The 21,300-nt window shown below is 35.8% G+C and overlaps 1 protein-coding gene across 2 annotated transcripts in view; it reads right to left on the bottom strand.

Annotated features, from left to right (window-relative positions):
• IL1RAPL1 (interleukin 1 receptor accessory protein like 1) overlaps positions 1 to 21,300 on the bottom strand; it is a 1,369,273-nt gene that overhangs the window by 1,221,615 nt on the left and 126,358 nt on the right. The window contains exon 1 of one of the 2 annotated variants that reach the window (XM_017029240.2): positions 16,557 to 17,496. The exons of the other annotated variant lie outside the window; for it this stretch is intronic. The gene's annotated coding sequence lies outside the window, so the exon portion shown is untranslated. Of the gene's footprint in view, positions 1 to 16,556; positions 17,497 to 21,300 lie in introns of those variants that run through there. 2 annotated transcript variants of the gene reach the window in all.

Raw genomic sequence — 21,300 nt, 5'->3', positions numbered from 1 at the left:
CAGAGAAGAAAAACTTCATAGGTGGTACAGAACTTGATAGGAAAGTAATGTTTCATAAGATTAAGGAAACACATTCCAGATGTGGAGAGCAACACTGGATGCCACAGTAAGTAATTTTCACGTTGAGCTTGCCTGTTGTATTAGCAAACGAAAGTAGCAGATGATGTTCACTGCCTATATCATGCAGGTATCTTGCATAAGATCTGCATTTGAGGAAAACCCTTTTCAACATAATATTTGTAGGGGAGAGGAAAAAACAACAGAATACTCATTCACTCATTCATTTGACATGTATTTATTGAGTGCCTACAAAATAATAGGTACTGATCCAACCAGTAAATGAAAAATGTTCCCTGCCCATATGGAGCTTACTTTCTAGTAGAAGACTGATAAATAACAGGCATAACAAATAAGTAAATGGTACATGATGTTGGAACATATACTAAGCTCTAGAGGAGGGTAGGAGAAATGGGAAATGCCAGAGGTGACAGTCAGGAGTTAGAGAGTTATAGTTTTAAAACTAGAGGAAGAGCCACATTAAAAAAAAAAAAAAATGACACTTTGGTAAAGACCTAAAAGAAGTAAAGGAATTGTGGGATTATATATGGGAAAATGGTTTTAGGCAGAGGGAACAGCAAATGCAAATCCTTAAGGTAGGCACATGTCTAGCATGTTTCAGAAACAGTGAGGTGTCACTGTGGCTAGAGTAACACAAATTACAGGGAAAATAGGAGTAGATGACATAAGAAGAAATAATGGGGGCCACTATATAAATCCATGGAAGCCATTGTAAACACTTTTCATTTGTAATGAATGAATTGTGGTTTCACTGCAGGGTTTCAAGGTGAGGACTGACAGGATTTTACTGACATTTGACTTCTGTGTTGAGAATAGATTTGAAGAGGGGAAGAGCAGAAGCAGGCAGACCAGATGTCATCACATAAATTCAGGAGAGAAATGATAGTGACTTAAAGTAGGGTTGTAGCAGCAGAGGTGGTAAGAAATGGTCACCATCTGGATCTCTTGTGAAGGTCAAGCCAACAGAAAGTGAGAACTGTTTGATGTGGAGTATAACAAAATGAGAGGAGTGAAGGATGACTCAAAGAAATTTGTTCTGAATAACCAGACACAGGGAACTATAGCAACTGATATGGGAATGGGTGTTTGTGGAACCAGTTCTGAGGAGGATATTGGCTCTATAGCCTTTGGACATATTAAATTTTAAGTGTCTATAAGTGCTTTCAGTGAAAATCTTGAGTAAGGAGTTAGATGTACGAATCTGGAATTTGGGAGAGGAGCTGGAAACAGAAAATAAATTAGTCAAAATTGTCAACAATCAAATGATATTTAAAACCACAGTACTAGGTGAAATGACTAAGGAAGTGAATTGAGAAGAGGACCAAGGAATGAGACTGGCTTCTTCCATCATCGAGAAGTCTACGAGAGTCGACAAAATCAGAAAGAAGGCTGAGAAAGACCAACTAAATCTGAAGGTATACCAAGAGTCAATTCTGAAAGACAAGTGAAGACAGTACATCATCAAAGAAGTAGGTGATAAATTGTTGCTGATAGGTCAACTATCTGCCTTAAGGATTGAGAATTGGGTCTAATTCAGCAATGTGGAGGACATTCGGGACCTTGGTAGGAATAGTTTAGTTGGAGTGGTGGCTCCAAAACCCAGACTGGAAGAGGTCTAAGAGAAATGAGAAGAGAGCAAGCACAGGCAACTCTTCTGAGTTTTACTATAAAGGGGAGAAAAGAAATGGCAGGAGGAGCTGGGGGATGGTATACAAAAATATTGTTAAGATTAGTATTAAAATTAGGATTGGATTAATAGTATCATTACTATTTTAGAAGTATTTTAGGATACATATAATTACTGTTAACATTGCTCATAATAATCATAAATATTTGATAAGCATTTTCTCTGTTTCTGTTACTGTCCTAAGTATGTATATATATATATAACTGTGTGTGCACCTGTATATATTATATACACACACACACACACCTGTATAATAAATTGTTACAACCACTCTATGAAATAGTCACTACTATTAGCCCATTTTACAGGTGAGAGAACTGACATATAAACATTAAGATCCAATATCCTCACACGGGTAGAAAATCATAGAGCTAGGAATTAATCCAGGTAATCTGCCTCTAGAATTTATGTGTTTAACACTATACCATCCTGCTGTATTTTGAAACAAATTATTAATTATTATTATTATTTAAGACAGAGTCTCACTTTGTTGCCAGGCTGGAGTGCAGTGGCGCAAACTCGGCTCACTGCAACCTCTGCCTCCCGGGTTCAAGCAATTCTCCTGCCTCAGTCTCCTAAGTAGCTGGGACTACAGGCATGTGCCACCATGCCCAGCTAATTTTTGTATTTTTAGTAGAGATGGGTTTTACCATGTTGGCCAGGATGGTCTTGATCTCTTGACCTCGTGATCCACCCGCCTCGGCCTCCCAAAGTGCTGGGATGAAACAAACTATTAATCCAAATGAGGTAGCAGAAAGAATGCTTAAACTACTTAGGATATCAAACTATTTCAATTACCTGAATTAATCATGTTTTTATAAAATCCCTTTCACGTTCATTATTCTTATCTTTTAAAAAGCCCTCGAAGAAATAAGACAAAGGAGTTCACACAGTATGAAAGGTTAACTTGATCCTATTTATATACGGACAAGAAGCAAAATTCCAACTCTTTCAGAATGTTCGTAAATTTCGATTGTTCTTCCACTGAAGTAGTCTAAATGAAGTTGTACTACACAACATAATGCAAATTAAAATTTGATGTATGATGAACAACTCTGCTAAAAAAATGTTTAAAAATATTTAAGGAGGAAATGTTATTGCACATGACTACTTAATTTAACGATCTCATAATTTGGTATAATTACAACTTCTTGTTTAGTCAAAACAACTTCCTCTCAGACGAATGTAACCTACTCTCAGGCCTCTTGACCTACTTCCCCTCTAGTCCGAAGTCTGGCTGTTGAAAAGATCTTTTTCTAAGTAGGTCATCCTCTGCCTTAAACCTCTTAACCAGACTTGCCTTTTTTCCTGCCTCAGACTCCAGCTCCTTATGATTATCTTCAGGACCCTGGTTACCTCATCCCTGCCTGTAGCGTCGCTTTGATTCTTGCCCCAGTTTTCTGGGCTTAACTTCTAAAAAGTGCCTTTATCACTTTCCTCCACTCTGGTCTCATGCTGCCCCTGTGCCTCATTCAACAATTTCCTTTGACATCTTTCTTTAAAAACTCTATTTTCTTTGACATCTTTCTTAAAAATCTTTTCATTAGGACAGTTGTCTGGGGTTAGGAGGTAGGGGAGAAAGAAGGGAGGGAAAAAACATAGGCAGGGAATAGTCAGAAAAAGGACAAAGACTCCGTAGTATTCTGATCTTCTCAACTCCCCACTTAGCAGCCACCTCTCACTCTCTTGATCTAGGACTTTGCCTGTCTCTCCCTCAGCCAGTGACCTTTCACGCACTGATAAAAAAATGAATATGCCATAATTTAGCTTTTGCCCACCATTCAGCTTCATCACATCATCTCGGCTTTTTAACCCATCATTCAAAGTATTAGAAGTTCTTCAAAAGAGAAGAAATGTAATAGCACAATAGAAATGCCCTTCTTTTTTGTCCTTCCAGATTTCACCATCAAAGTGGGGAGAAGTTATCATGGCAACAAAAGCAGACTTTGCTGACAGCAAAGAAAATGGAAAAATACTAGCTAGCAATCATTGTCTTTTTAATACAAGCCACTTAATTTACCACACCCAGGCCTACCAACACAGTTCAGTGAGAACATTTCAAAGCATAAAGTAAAACATCAGTATGCTTCCCTTAGGATGTTTTTTTTATAATGATGAAAAAGAAAAAAAATCAAAATGAAAAAAGGACAAATGAACGTGACAGATATTCTTTTAAAAGAGTATATTTGACATAGTAATTGTATAAACTTACAAGCTTTAGAGTTGGTGATCCTATTTTGAGGCATCTTAATATAGGGATATCATTATTACATCAGCCACCCACTAGTTTATCACTAATACACCAATTAATCTTTCTAGGAGTGAGCATTCTTACATCTGAGTCACTTCCTACTTGTTGTCATTTTTCCAACCCTTAAAGTGATCTCAGTGGCCCTAAGATCAATTACACTTAAACCAATGCGTAGAGTCTGGCACATTCATTAATTAGAGTCAAATTTACACTTCTGTAATTGACACTAATTATTTGTTTGGTTTAAGTAAGTTGTTAGGCATTCATTAAAACTATTGGTCATAGGCATTAAATGAACATGGTTTCAAAGTCCATATATATGTTAAAACATCAGGTCTAGGATTTCACAGCAAGAAAAACTTTCTGAACTGGCACCTATAAATAAATCTTAGGGTCTTGCTCAAGTTAATGCATGAATGTAAAATAATGAAAATTAGGGCATGGCTTAATATTCCTTAGCATGTTCAACAAGTATATCACACATCACAGTTCAACAAGTGTAAATCATTATCAAGAAAACTGGAAAATATTATTAGTTTTTTTATTGTTCATTTTACTTATGATGTAGCTTTTTTCAGCATACATTTATTGAATAAATATGTTCATTCTATGTTAGATAATTTTGTAGAAAATATGGCCAAGTATCTATTTAGTCGTTTTTCGGAAGTGTTCCTCTGAATACATAACTGATATATACTCTTTATATTATTTATAAAAGGAAAGAAATAATTATTTAAACATGAAACAGTTTCTATAGCCCTTTCTAACTATATACAATGCTCAACGTGTAAAAAAACTATATTCAAAGATTCAGGTCATCTCAATTTTTGAGACCAATATGTGCTGGTTTAGTTAAGCAGGGGAATTTCCTATCATAAAAGTTGTCATTGTTTTCCTTCAATATTAAAGTTCTTCAAGGAATAGATGAGAGAGCAATACAAACTTCAGCAAATGGATAAGCTTTCTGAAACAGAGTTTTACTATCTTTACAAGTGTCATAATAATTATAAAACTATTTTTAATTATAATTGAAACAAATGAGGAAAACCACCTATTAGAAACTATCATAAGATAATTTCAAGTCATAATTGAAATTCAAGTCATAATTTTTTTTGTTTTGTTTTTTGTTTTGAGATGGATCTTGGCTCACTGCAAGCTCCGCCTCCTGGGTTCACGCCATTCTCCTGCCTCAGCCTCCAGAGTAGCTGGGACTACAGGCGTGCACCACCACACCCAGCTAATTTTTGTATTTTTAGTAGAAATGGGGTTTCACCATGTTGGCCAGGATGGTCTCAATCTCCTGACCTCATGATCCGCCTGCCTCGGCCTCCCAAAGTGCTGGGATTACAGGCATGAGCCACCACACCCGGCCTCATCCCTATCTTCTAACTGGAAGAAATAAGTCATCATCTAAATTTTGGATGAGCTCAGTTAGCTTCCCATTTTCAGATAATTTTCTATAACATATTTAATTGGGCAACTATATCTAGAATGCTAGAGTATTTCCAGTCCTCATTAATTATTAGGTAAAGCTTCTTTGAACTTAGCATCTTGGCATTAGACATATACTCTGTTTATAGAGCATTTACTATTAAGATCCATTTATCTTTAATAATTCATCATAAATCAATCTTTTTGGTTCTAAGTAATTTGCATTGTTTCTATGCTTTCCTCTGGATACTTTTATGCTCCTCTATATTTCATAATAGCATATATAACCTAATTTAATGAACTCTTCAAACAGATTAACTATGTTCCCTTCATGCACTAATTCTGGAGTCCTACCTAGAAAAGCTATTAAATTTGTACTTAACTGGCACTCCCTTGGCTATTACATAAGAATACTGGAATCAAACTTTTCCCAATGGGAATTTTATACATATAATTTTTTAACATAAATGTGACCCTTAAAAGCATTTTGGTCAGTCTGGGAGCTTATTTGCTAACTGCAAAATAAAAGTCAATCATTTTAAATTTGCACAAATTAAAGTTTAAAATGATATATTTATAGTCATAGTAGCATGCAAAATGTTTGATATAAGCAAATGATAATACAGAGTAACATAGCTAGAATGGGCTGTAAAGTTCCCTTTAAGTTTAAAATAACTTTTAAAGTGAAAAAGAAATACAACTTGAAAAATTTTCTTTAAGGAAAAAGACTTTTAGAGCAGCAAATATCCAAATATTTAGAATAGCCATAATATCTACAAGAAAGTAAATATAAAACACTGTGGAAGGACATGACTCCAGAGGGTTTAAATGAGTTTCCTACTTGACTTCTTTGCAACTCAGCTTCTTCATCTATATAATGAGTTTATATTCATTATAAAAAAGTGTTCTGCATTGCAATGCCGGAAGTTCCCAATAAATGTCTATTATTACCATATTTTTGGAAAATAAACATTAGTAAAGATGCTGTGTTTATGTTTTTCTGCAAATATTACAGAATATTGTTTGCTAAGTCTCCTTTATGTGCTTTGAGGTTTGAGGGTCTTTCTTAATTTTTTAGAATAAAGAAACTTCTTGGAGTTTCCCTTTCCTGGAAGATAGAACGATCTTTCCTCCTAAGAAACAATTTTTTTAGAGATACTCTCATTGTAAACAGTTTGTATTTCCAAAATGAGAAGCCTACATCTCTGGGCTGTATGTTGGACTGTTTGTGGGTGAGTAGCGGTTATCTGCAGAGAATAAATTCTTCTCTCTTGCTGAATAAAGGTATTGCCAGAACAAATGTATAAGACTTTGGATACAATTCTACATTATCTCTTGTAATTTCAAAATGGTTTAATTAACTGTTGAAAACGTAATCTTTCTGCTAATTTTGAAAGGAAAGCACCCTTGAATAGTTAAAATTTGATTTGTGGACATTTATACATAGTATAGTATTCAACAATAACTGTACAGTGTTATCTGAATTTATGAAAATATAATTCTGATATAATAAGAAATCCATCATCATAATCTCATATACACTCTAATGAAAATTATTTTTATTTTTTATTTTATTTTATTTTATTATTATACTTTAAGTTTTAGGGTACATGTGCACATTGTGCAGGTTAGTTACATATGTATACATGTGCCACGCTGGTGCGCTGCACCCACTAACTCGTCATCTAGCATTAGGTATATCTCCCAATGCTATCCCTCCCCCCTTCCCCCACCCCACAACAGTCCCCAGAGTGTGATGTTCCCCTTCCTGTGTCCATGTGATCTCATTGTTCAATTCCCACCTATGAGTGAGAATATGCGGCGTTTGGTTTTTTGTTCTTGCGATAGTTTACTGAGAATGATGATTATCTCAATAGATGCAGAAAAGGCCTTTGACAAAATTCAACAGCCCTTCATGCTAAAAACTCTCAATAAATTAGGTATTGATGGGATGTATTTCAAAATAATAAGAGCTATCTATGACAAACCCACAGCCAATATCATACTGAATGGGCAAAAACTGGAAGCATTCCCTCTGAAAACTGGCACAAGACAGGGATGCCCTCTCTCACCACTCCTATTCAACATAGTGTTGGAAGTTCTGGCCAGGGCAATTAGGCAGGAGAAGGAAATAAAGGGTATTCAATTAGGAAAAGAGGGAGTCAAATTGTCCCTCTTTGCAGACGACATGATTGTATATCTAGAAAACCCCATTGTCTCAGCCCAAAATCTCCTTAAGCTGATAAGCAACTTCAGCAAAGTCTCAGGATACAAAATCAATGTACAAAAATCACAAGCATTCTTATACACCAACAAAAGACAAACAGAGAGCCAAATCATGAGTGAACTCCCATTCACAATTGCTTCAAAGAGAATAAAATACCTAGGAATCCAACTTACAAGGGATGTGAAGGACCTCTTCAAGGAGAACTACAAACCACTGCTCAATGAAATAAAAGAGGACACAAACAAATGGAAGAACATTCCATGCTCCTGGGTAGGAAGAATCAATATCGTGAAAATGGCCATACTGCCCAAGGTAATTTACAGATTCAATGCCATCCCCATCAAGCTACCAATGCCTTTCTTCACAGAATTGGAAAATTATTTTTATTAAGAGACTGGGGTAAATGAAGAAAGTTTATCATTGGTCCCATATAAAATCCATAAAAGAATAAAACTGAGGATATAAGTCTTCTGATTACATTACTACTATGTTCACAAAGGAGTTGAGCCAGATGCATCTACAATTAGATTCCTCTGTTTCTGCAATGTATCTAAATGAAGAAGCTGTGCAATATAGTGTTTAAGCATGCAGGCACTAGAGCTCTGGGGTCAAATCACACTCTTCCATTCACCAATCTTAAAAGCTTGATCAAACTGCCTATTCTCTCTATACCTCAGTTTCCTCATCTGTAAAGTGGGGGAAATAATGACATTTACTTCATAGGAACACTATGAGGATGATATAAGTCAATTAATAACTGTAGAGTGAATTGAATAGTGCCTGGGTGTGGTAGCACTCAGTAAGTATCATTTATTATCTGCCAAGTAATAAAATTTCTTAAATAATGTTTAAATTTCAATTTATCGTATTTTTTGTGAGGGAGTTTTATAATAGGTTTTTCCTTAAAGTTTTAATTCTACCACAATCCCCACACAACAGTCACTACAAAAATATTGGTTGAATGAATGAAGGCCATCACCAAAGGAAGGTATGCTTGAATCTTAGACATTACAGCTTCCATCCAAAGCAAATGAGCTGTATTAACACTTGCGTGCAATGTTGTTAATAATCAAGTAGTGTGTGTTATTAAGTAGAACCAAATTATTATCCTTAATTCCCCCTTATCCCTATTGATTTCTTGAACATAATATCAATATGTGAAGAATGGTAAAAATTTGGAGTCACCTGAGACTCAGATTATATACCTCATTTTACACATGAGAAAAATAAAACCCATGATCACATATACCACAGTTCTATCCTCAACAGAATGATCATCAAAACTGTCTTTTTAAGTTCATTCACATGAATCCAGATACCTATCTGAAACCTATTATTAACCATGTATTCTTCACAATTTAGAAAAAAATAAATGAGTGCACTGTGATAGCTGTAGCATTAAATATTATTTCATTGTCATAAATAACTTTGAAAATAAACATAGACTTCAGAAAAACTTAACCATCCAACACTGGAAGTATCCCTCACTTTTTTTCTTCCATTTAAGTACATGATGCTTTTCTAAATACAACAAAAATGCATAAATAGTCTCGATTTTTTAAATTTGCTCTTAAAAGTGTTACAAGGGAGATTCCCAGAGTATTCCTTCAAGAGGCCTATGCCACCATCAGGTTATTTCACACCATCACAGCCATCACCATTTACTTTTGTTCATGATTTATTATTAGAATTATCCACCCCACTGCTCTGCCTTGCTCATTCTCAACATGTTAGCATTTTCACAAAGAGATTGAAATTTGCCTGATCCTATGAGTAAGAAGGTAAGAAAATTCAGAGACTTGCAAGATCTTTTATTAATTACGTTTTAAAATTGTATGAAGAACTTCTGGGTTGGTGAAAACACAGATGTGCTAAGAGGGTGGCACACAGTGGGGAGTATGGAAGCTCCATACAATCCCTATCCCATGCCTTGACCTATGCGTATTCTGAGTTATATCTATCATAATTACCCGGTAATAATAATTTTTAAAAACACACAAAATAAAATATGTAAACGAAAATTATACTCAATAAGAAAGATATACAGCAATTATCCTTTCTTGTCAAAGAAGCTTTCAGATTTTTTAAAGGTCCTCTCTAGTCCAGTGAATTCTTGTTTTTCTGAAGTAGTTCTTTGTGAATGTTTATGTGTTTGATTGTGTTTTAAAAAACACACCAAGGGCCAGGCATGGTGGCTCATGCCTGTAATCCCAGCACTTTGGGAGGCCGAGACAGGTGGATCATGAGATCTGGAGACTGAGACCATCCTTGCTAACACGGTGAAACCTCGTCTCTACTAAAAATACAAAAAATTAGCCGGGCGTGGTGCGGGCGCCTATAGTCCCAGATGCTCAGGAGGCTGAGGCAGGACAATGGCGTGAACCCGGGAGGCAGAGCTTGCAGTGAGCCGAGATTGCATCACTGCACTCCAGCCTGGGGGACAGAGTGAGACTCCGTCTCAGAAAAAAAAAAAAAAAAAACAAATTGAGTTGGAGGTAGACGTCAAGTCATGTTCCATTTACAGAAAGTCAGAAAGATATGCTAGAAGGCTTTGTATAGAATAATCAGCAGTTTACTCTCTCACATATGTTTTAATTTTTCCATAGAAACACAAAAAAGTCTCTAACAATCAGTCATTCTTGTAGGGCAGGTCTGGAGCTCCTCAAGGAAGCACTAAACATGGAAAGAAACAACCAGTACCAGCCACTGCAAAAACATGCCAAATTTTAAAGACCATCGAGGCTAGGAAGAAACCGCACCCACTAACAAGCAAAATAACCAGATAACATCATAATGACAGGACCAAATTCACACATAACAATATTAACCTTAAATGTAAATGGGCTAAATGCTCCAGTTAAAAGACACAGACTGGCAAATTGGATAAAGAGTCAAGACCCATCAGTGTGCTGTATTCAGGAGACCCATCTCACGTGCAGAGACACATATAGGCTCAAAATAAAGGGATGGAGGAAGATCTACCAAGAAAATGGAAAACAAAAAAAAGGCAGGGGTTGCAATCCTAGTCTCTGATAAAACAGACTTTAAACCAACAAAGATCAAAAGAGACAAAGAAGGCCATTACATAATGGTAAAGGGATCAATTCAACAAGAAGATCTAACTATCTTAAATATATATGCACCCAATACAGGAGCACCCAGATTCATAAAGCAAGTCCTTAGAGATCTACAAAGAGACTTAGACTCCCACTCAATAATAATGGGTGACTTTAACGCTGCACTGTCAACATTAGACGGATCAATGAGACAGAAAGTTAATAAGGATACCCAGGAATTGAACTCAGCTCTGCAACAAGCAGACCTAATAGACATCTACAGAACTCTCCACCCCATATCAACAGAATATACATTCTTCTCAGCACCACATCACACTTATTCCAAAACTGACCACATAGTTGGAAGTAAAGCTCTCCTCAGCAAATGTAAAAGAACAGAAATTATAACAAACTGTCTCTCAGACCACAGTGCAATCAAACTAGAACTCAGGATTAAGAAACTCACTCAAAATCGCCCAACTACATGGAAACTGAACAACCTGCTTCTGAATGACTACTGGGTACATAACGAAATGAAGGCAGAAATAAAGATGTTCTTTGAAACCAATGAGAACAAAGACACAACATACCAGAATCTCTGGGACACATTTAAAGCGGTGTGTAGAGGGAAATTTATGCCACTAAATGCCCACAAGAGAAAGCAGGAAAGATCTAAAATTGACACCCTAATATCACAATTAAAAGAACTAGAGAAGCAAAAGCAAACACATTCAAGAGCTAGCAGAAGGCAAGAAATAACTAAGATCAGAGCAGAACTGAAGGAGATAGAGACACAAAAAACCCTTCAAAAAATCAATGAATCCAGAAGCTGCTTTTTTGAAAAGAGCAACAAAATTGATAGACTGCTAGCAAGACTAACAAAGAAGAAAAGAGAGAAGAATCAAATAGTTGCAATAAAAAATGATAAAGGGGATATCACCACTGATCCCACAGAAATACAAACTACCACCAGAGAATACTATAAACACCTCTATGCAAATAAGCTAGAAAATCTAGAAGAAATGGATAAATTCCTGGACACACACACCCTCCCAAGACTAAACCAGGAAGAAGTTGAATCCCTGAATAGACCAATAACAGTATCTGAAATTGAGGCAATAATTAATAGCCTACCAATCAAAAAAAGTCCAGGACCAGATGGATTCACAGCCCAATTCTACCAGAGGTACAAGGAGGAGATGGAACCATACCTTCTGAAACTATTCCAATGAATAGAAAAAGAGGGAATCCTCCCTAACTCATTTTATGAGGCCAGCATCATCCTGATACCAAAGCCGGGTAGAGACACAACAAAAAAAGAGAATTTTAGACCAATATCCCTGATGAACATCGATGTAAAAATCCTCAATAAGATACTGGCAAACCGAATCCAGCAGCACATCAAAAAGCTTATCCACCATGATCAAGTGGACTTCATCCCTGGGGTGCAAGGCTGGTTCAACATACGCAAATCAATAAACGTAATCCAGCACATAAACAGAACCAAAGACAAAAACGACATGATTTTCTCAATAGATGCAGAAAAGGCCTTTGACAAAATTCAACAGCCCTTCATGCTAAAAACACTCAATAAATTAGGTATTGATGGGACGTATCTCAAAATAATTAAGAGCTATTTATGGCAAACCCACAGCCAATATCATACTGAATGGCCAAAAACTGGAAGCATTCCCTTCGAAAACTGGCATAAGACAGGGATGCCCTCTCTCACCACTCCTATTCAACATAGTGTTGGAAGTTCTGGCCAGGGCAATCGGGCAGGAGAAAGAAATAAAGGGTATTCAATTAGGAAAAGAGGAAGTCAAATTGTCCCTGTTTGCAGATGACATGATTGTATATTTAGAAAACCCCATCGTCTCAGCCCAAAATCTCCTTAAGCTGATAAGCAACTTCAGCAAAGTCTCAAGATACAAAATCAATGTGCAAAAATCACAAGCATTCTTATACACCAATAACAGACAAAGAGCCAAATCATGAGTGAACTCCCATTCACAATTGCTTCAAAGAGAATAAAATACCTAGGAATTCAACTTACAAGGGATGTGAAGGACCTCTTCAAGGAGAACTACAAACCACTGCTCAATGAAATAAAAGAGGATACAAACAAATGGAAGAACATTCCATGCTCATGGATAGGAAGAATTAATATCATGAAAATGGCCATACTGCCCAAGGTAATTTACAGATTCAATGCCATCCCCATCAAGCTACCAATGACTTTCTTCGCAGAATTAGAAAAAGCTACTTTAAAGTTCATATGGAACCAAAAAAGAGCCTGCATTGCCAAGTCAATCCTAAGCCAAAAGAACAAAGCTGGAGGCATCATGCTACCTGACTTCAAACTATACTACAAGGCTACAGTAACCAAAACAGCATGGTACTGGTACCAAAACAGAGATACAGACCAGTGGAACAGAACAGAGCCCTCAGAAATAATTCCACACATCTACAACCATCTGATCTTTGACAAACCTGACAAAAACAAGAAATGGGGAAAGGATTCCCTATTTAATAAATGGTGCTGGGAAAACTGGCTAGCCATATGTAGAAAGCTGAAACTGGATCCCTTCCTTACACCTTATACAAAAATTAATTCAAGATGGATTAAAGACTTAAATGTCAGACCTAAAACCATAAAAACCCTAGAAGAAAACCTAGGCAATACCATTCAGGACATAGGCACGGGCAAGGACTTCATGTCTAAAACACCAAAAGCAATGGCAACAAAAGCCAAAATTGACAAATGGGATCTAATTAAACTAAAGAGCTTCTGCACAGCAAAAGAAACTACCATCAGAGTGCACAGGCAACCTATAGAATGGGAGAAAATTTTTGCAATCTACTCATCTGACAAAGGGCTAATATCCAGAATCCACAAAGAACTCAAACAAATTTACAAGAAAAAAACAAACAACCCCATCAAAAAGTGGGCGAAGGATATGAACAGACACTTCTCAAAAGAAGACATTTATGCAGCCAACAGACACATGAAAAAATACTCATCGTCACTGGCCATCAGAGAAATGCAAATCAAAACCACAATGAGATATTATCTCACACCAGTTAGAATGGCGATCATTAAAAAGTCAGGAAACAACAGGTGCTGGAGAGGATGTGGAGAAATGGGAACACTTTAACACTGTTGGTGGGACTGTAAACTAGTTCAACCATTGTGGAAGCAGTGTGGTGATTCCTCAAGGATCTAGAACTAGAAATACCATTTGACCCAGCCATCCCATTACTGGGTATATACCCAAAGGATTATAAATCATGCTGCTATAAAAGCACATGCACACGTATGTTTATTGTGACACTATTCACAATAGCAAAGACTTGGAACCAACCCAAATGTCCATCAATGATAGACTGGATTAAGAAAATGTGGCACATATACACCATGGAATATAATGCAGCCATAAATGAGTTCATGTCCTTTGCAGGGACATGGATGAAGCTGGAAACCATCATTCTCAGCAAACTATCTCAAGGACAAAAAACCAAACACCACATGTTCTCACTCATAGGTGGGAATTGAACAATGAGAAAACCTGGACACAGGAAGGGGAACATCACACACCAGGGCCTGTGGTGGGGTGGGGTGAGAGGGGAGGGAAAGCATTAGGAGATATACCTAATGTAAATGACAAGTTAATGGGTGCAGCATACCCACATGGCCCATGGATACATATGTAACAAACCTGCACGTTGTGCATATGTACCCTAGAACTTAAAGTATAATAATAAAAAAAAATCAGTCATTTTGTATTTTTATATGGGTCAAGTAATATCTCAAATCAGAAATTTAAAAGTATCATTTGCAATAACAAGTAGTAGGTAATTTGATATGCTTAGAATGCCATGAACCAGGGGAAGAGTAGAGGGAAAAATACCATGTGACTGAAAGATATTACTAAATTCCAACCTTTTTTCAAAATCAGCTAACATGTATAGCTGCAACTAGTATCAGAGCTACATTGTTTCCTTGTGCCATTAATTTCACAAATAGCATTTAGTGCTGACAGACGGACACTCCCTCTCAACTATATAACAGAAATCATTAGGAGCATGTGTGAGCAAGTTGGTTATCTCAGAGATGGCCATCAGCAGCTGGGTAGGCTGGACAAGAAAATTTGATTCTGGCCTGTCTCAACTCTTCATAAATATGTATCTTACAATTATATGTCAGAGTAATTAAAAAAAGAAAGGAAAATAAAAGATAACTCCAGGTGCAGGGACTTTTTTTATTACAAATGAATATATTTCAAGAATTTGGGGGTAAGAAAAAGCATAAATTACTTGGGGATATGCAACGGTATTTGCATTTTTCTCTACGAATTTCTTTTACATCATATTTTCCAAGTAGAATATAGTCACTAAATAGGAAAAAACTCTACGGTCAAAGCTACTGAATAAACATGAGACCAAAAAAGTACCTCTAATGTTATGCTATTCTTGACTTTCATGAGAAACATAGACTAAAAATTACTCCATCCCCCATTCCTGTGTGCTGGAATGTTCCTATTAGAGAAACAGATCTTGCATGCTGTCCTGACCTTTAATCTGCTCCACTTGGCAGCAACAAGATGTAACACCTTTCTACTGTTCAAAAAGAAATAAGCTGGGAAAATTGAATTGTCTCTTGTTTTTGTTTCCTCAAAAACCTAGCAATCAATACAAACTTTATTGAAGGTCATCTACGAGCTGGTTTCTACCTAATGAACAGTATAAATGGGCTGTATACATGAAGAAATTTAGGTTCAGATTTCTTCAGGACCATTTATAATATTTATGTCACAAAAACCTCCAAAGCTTACATTTAAAAAAAAACTGTCTATTCTCATCCATACTACTGTTTTTATTTTTAGTTATTACCTCAAACATATACTCTTTAGTTCTCCAACTAGACACTACACTTGAAACCTATGCCCAATATAATATTCCATTTATTATTCCCAACCCTAACACATAATAGATGCTTAATAATAATAACAGTAATAACAAATAATTACTTTCCAATGAATCCTTACCATAAGGCAGGTTCAGTGCAGTGCTCTTTACACTTTTATTATCTTATTGATTTATAACAACCTTGTATATTAAATATTAATATCTTTATGTGACAAATGACAAAACAAAGTCAAAGAGAATTGGGTATGAGGGTCCACAATACCTAGGGACCTGTATTAAATCCAGGTTAATCTGATTCAAAGCCATTATATGACCATTTCCTAAATTCCGATGCATATATATCCTTTTTAAGAAGGAGTATTTACAATTATGTCTAACCCTACCTATATGCAAAAACAAAACAGAAACAAAAAAGAAAGTTGAGGCGATCCTTATGAAACACATATGACTATTTGCAGACTGTTCTCTGCAGACAAACATAACAACAAATACTCATCTTTATTTCAAGAAACTTCCTGAATGCAGAAAACATCCCTAAAAGCCCAACTGGTGGGACCAAATAAGAGTCAAATAAGTTAGTTTTATGTATTTATCTATATATATCCATCTATCTTATTTTTCTGTTTACAAAGAGCTACTTGCAGAAGTTTGCTTGAATCAAAAACTATTTCATGTCAGCCAGTCAACCAGAAAAGATTCTATTTCTTGTTTAGCTTGATAAAGTGTAAGATGTTACATTTGTAATATTTGTAAAATTCTAATAAATCACGTGATTTACCAATGTAAAATTTGCTTAAGTTGCATAAAAATTTTGTTTCAAATTTATTTCAGAACCTGCTTCATTTCTTCATGGCAAAAGGTTTCCCCAAAGAAATATATAATAAAGCTTTCACTTACAGAGAAGTTTCATGTATGGATGTGTCATTTTCTGTTCATCATAGTCTTTTAATTCAAATGCATTGAAAATCTCCACAGTTCATAGAAATTCACTCTTGTATTTGACAGCAAAAGAATAAAAGGAATCAATGAAATAAATCTTGTAAGAAATGATCAATATCTAATTATTTTTAACTTTACATATGAATAAAGCAAATTAGTCTGGTTTAGTTTATTTTTTAATTCATTTATAAATTTGAATGAAAAATGAATAAAGAACATTATACGATATTTTAAAAACCCATCAAACATCAGAGAGTTTTTTTCTAAATGCTGCAGAATTAAAGTCATGTATTAATGCATTTTACTGATGTATCCCAAGCACCTACAACTATACCAGGCATATAGTAGATGCTCAAAAATATTAATTGAACAGATTAAAGTAATGAATGATTTCTCATTCTCCTTGGCATTCTTGATTTGGTACTGTATTTCTAATGAAAAAGTATTGCATAATAGTAAGAACTATTTACATTTCTTTAGTGATTTTCTTAGAGTTCTAAACATATTTTGGAAGAAACTCATTAGTATTTACTTATTTATCATATGAGGTTACTAACATTTTCAGAGAAGATCAGCCTTTCAGGAAGCTCATTGTGGAAAATACTACATTAGATTATTTTGCATCTAAATGCAACAGAATACAACTTGAAAATCCTGGGAGTCTTAAGGATCAGTGATTCCAGAATATTACCAAAAAGGAGGAAGGAAGAAACGTATACCTTCTTTCAAAGTACCAGTTTCTTCTTTATCAACTCAAAAAAAGTCCTCCAGTCCCCCTCCCCACTTCGAATCTCAATCCTGAGACTCAGGTATTAAGATTTTGTAAAGACTCATGAACGATTTTTTTTATTCTTTTATTTTAAGTTCAGGAGTACATGTGTAGCTTTGTAACATAGGTAAATGTGTGTCATGGGGGTTTGTTGTACAGATTATTTCATCACTCAGGTATTAAGCCTAGTATCCATTAGTTATTTTTCCTGATCCTCTTCCTCCTCCCACCCTCTACCCTCTGGTAGGCCTCAGTGTGTGCTGTTCACCTCTATGTGTCTTATGGGTTCTCAACATTTAGCTCCCAACTAAAAGAAAATATGTGGTATTTGGTTTTCTGTTCCTGTGTTAGTTTGCTAAGGATAATGGCCTCCAGTTCCATCCATGTCCCTACAAAGGACATGATCTCATTCTTTTTTATGGCTGTATAGTATTCAATGGTATATATGTACTACATTTTCTTTATCCAGTCTATCATTGATGGGCATTTAGGTTGATTCCATATCTTTGCTATTGTGAATAGTATTGCAGTGAACATATGCATGCATCTGTCTTTGTGATAGAACAATTTATATTCCTTTGGGTATATACCCAGTAATGGGATTGCTGGATTGAATGGTATTTCTGTCTTTAGGTCTTTGAGGAATTGTCACACTCTTCCACGATGGCTGAACTAATTTACACTCCCATCAACAGTGTATAAGTGTTCTTTCTTCTCCACAACCTCACCAGTATCTGTTATTTTTTCATAGTAGCCATTCTGACTGGTGTGAGATGGTATCTCATTGTGGTTTTGACTTGCATTTTTCTAATGATCAGTGATGTTGAGCTTTTATTCACATGCATGTTGTCCATGTGTCTGCCTTCCTTTGAGAAGTGTCTGTTCATCTCCTTTGCCCACTTTTTAATGGGGTGGTGTTTTTTTCTTGTAAATTTGTTGAAGTTCCTTATAAATTAGACTTTTGTTGGAAGCATAGTTTGCAAAAATTTTTCTCTCACTCTGTAGGTTGTCTGTTGATAGTTACTTTGCTGTGCAGAAGCTCTTTATTTTAATTGGATCCCATTTGTCAATTTTTGCTTTAGTTGCAATTGCTTTTGGTGTCGTCATCATGAAATCTTTGCCCAGGCTATGTCCTGAATAGTATTGCCTAGGTTGTCTTCCAGAATTTTTATATGTTTGGGTTTTACATTTAAGTTTTTAATCCATCTTGAGTTAAATTTTGTATATGGTGTAAGGAAGGGGTCCAGTTTCAATCTTCTGCATATGGCCAGACAGTTATCCCAGCACCATTTAATGAAAAGGGAATCCTTTCCCCATTGCTTTTTTTAAACATCTTCAAAAGTGTTAGTTTGACTTCCTCTCTCCCTATTTGAATACTCTTTATTTCTTTCTCTTGCCTGACTACCCTGGCCAAAACTTCCAATACTATGTTGAATATGAGTGGTGAGAGCAGGCGTCCTTGTGCCAGTTTTCAAGGGGAATGCTTCCAGCTTTTGCCCATTCAGTACGATGTTGGCTGTGGGTTTGCCACACATGGCTCTTATTATTTTGACGTATGTTCCTTCAATACCTAGTTTATTGTGAGTTTTTAACACGAAGGGATGTTGAATTTTGTCACAAGCCTTTTCTGCATCTATTGAGATAATCATGTGTGTTTTCTCTTTAGTTCTGTTTATGTGATGAATCACATTTACTGATTTGTGTATGTTGAACCAAGCTTGCTTGCATCCCAGGGATGAAGCCTACTTGATTGTGGTGGATAAGCTTTTTGATGTGTTGCTGGATTCAGTTTGCCAGTATTTTATTGAGGATTTTTGCATCAATGTTATCAAGTAAATTGGCCTGAAGTTTTCTTTCTTTTATTGTGTCTCTGCAGGGTTTTGGTATCAAGATGATGCTGGTCTCATAGAATGAGTTAGGGAAGAGTCCCCTTTTTTCAATTTTTTGGAATAGTTTCAGTAGGAATGGTACCAGCTCTTCTTTGTACATCGGGTAGAATTCAGCTGTGAATCCATCTGGTCCTGGACTTTTTTTGATTGGTAGGCTATTTATTACTGCCTCAATTTCAGAACTCATTATTGGTCTGTTTAGGGATTCTATTTCTTCCTGGTTCAGTCTTGGGAGGGTGTCTATGTCCAGGAATTTATCCCTTTCTTCTAGATTTTCTAGTTTATGTTCATAGAGGTATTTGTAATATTTTCTGATGGTTGTTTGTATTTCTGTGGCTTGATTTTTCTCTTGGTTCTCTAGTTCTTTTAGTTGTGATGTTAGGTTGTTAACTTGAGATCTTTCTAACTTTTTGATGTGGGCATTTAGTGCTATAAATTTCTCTCTTAACACTGCCTTAGCTGTGTGCCAGAGATTCTGGTACGATGTATCTTTGTTCTCATTAGTTTCAAAGAACTTCTTGATTTCTGCCTTAATTTTATTATTTACCCAAAAGTCATTCAGGAGCAGCTTATTCAGTTTCCATGTAATTGTACGGTTTTCAGTGAATTCCTTAGTCTTTAGTTTTAATTTGACTGCACTGTGGTCCCAGAGACTGTTTTATATGGTTTCAGTTTTCTGCATTTGCTGAGGAGTGTTTTACTTCTGATTATACGATCAATTTTAGAGTAAATGCCATGTGGCAATGAGAAGAACGTATATTCTATTGTTTTTGGGTGGAGAGTTCTGTAGCTATCTATCAGATCCATTTGGTCCAGAGCTGAGCTTACATCCTGAATATCTTTGTTAATTTTCTGTCTCGATGATCTGTCTAATATTGCCAGTGGGCTGTTAAAGTATCCCACTACTATTGTGTGGGAGTCTAAGTCTTTTTGAAAGATCCATGAATGATTTTAATATGATCTAATGTTTACAACTGGCCAGTATGTAGGTATAACCATGGAAAGGACCATGCACAATACAAGGCACATTTGAAAAATGTCCTCTTCTTTCCAGAAAAGCTCAGCCATCCATACCACTAATAACTTGTCACACCTTACTCCACAAGTATGCAAAAGATATTGCTGATTTTCAGTAGATTTGATCATTGACACATTCTTCCTAAATTTTCTACTTTCAAGGCTGCTCATGGAGGGAGGCTCTTTCCTTATGTAAGATTATTTTTCTGAGCCAACTAAAACTGCCAGCTAACGTCACCACAGGTAAATGTATGCTTTCACAGTTTAGCATGTGCATGAGTTTGTGTCTTGGTCTGAGTTCCTGACTTTTAAAAGGAAATTATGATATATCATTATAAAGACATAAGGCTTGAAGTTTCCAATTTAGAGATATAATTCATATCCTTCCTTCCTGCCTTCCTTCCTTCCATTAAATTGTATATGTCTATACTTTTTCCAGCTCTCTGCATGTTTTGGGGATAGACTACTTCTGTTCTTGAGATTCACAAATAAATAATCAAATATAGAAAAAAGATTGGAGTATCTAAAATGTTAGGAAGAAGTGAATGGCTCCGCAAGATGTCTGGGCTCTAAGGAAAGAGAGATGATGCAAGGTGTAAGTTGGAAAAATGAGACAGGTTTTAAAGTAGCTAAGTAGGGATTCAAAGTTAAAACTTCTCGAGTAAAACAAGAATAAGAAAGAGCATAAAATCATCAGGAGACTTCAGTATATTCTTAGTAAAGTATTTGTAAAATAATCATAAAAATATAGCACTAAAGCAATAAAATTATACATAAATGATAACATTGACCTATTTACTTAAAACGTGTGATAATACTGTTCAGAAAGCTCTGAAAACTCATTGAAATTCACCTTTACAAGACATGTCTATTAAAACGATATTGGCAGTTCCTGCTGTGTATGTTACTCAGCTTCTTAGAAGTTGAAACTTTACATTTCAATCAAGGTTCATCTTCAAATGAGTAGAAATTTCTAGGGAACAGGCAGAACTTAAAACTCTCACAGACCTTTTTTTGTCATATTTAG

The sequence above is a fragment of the Homo sapiens genome, chromosome X (assembly GCF_000001405.40).
Source record: "Homo sapiens chromosome X, GRCh38.p14 Primary Assembly".
NCBI lineage: Eukaryota > Metazoa > Chordata > Mammalia > Primates > Hominidae > Homo > Homo sapiens.
The sequence above is the reverse complement of the archived record's forward strand: the minus strand, read 5'-3'. Positions and strand labels throughout refer to the sequence as shown.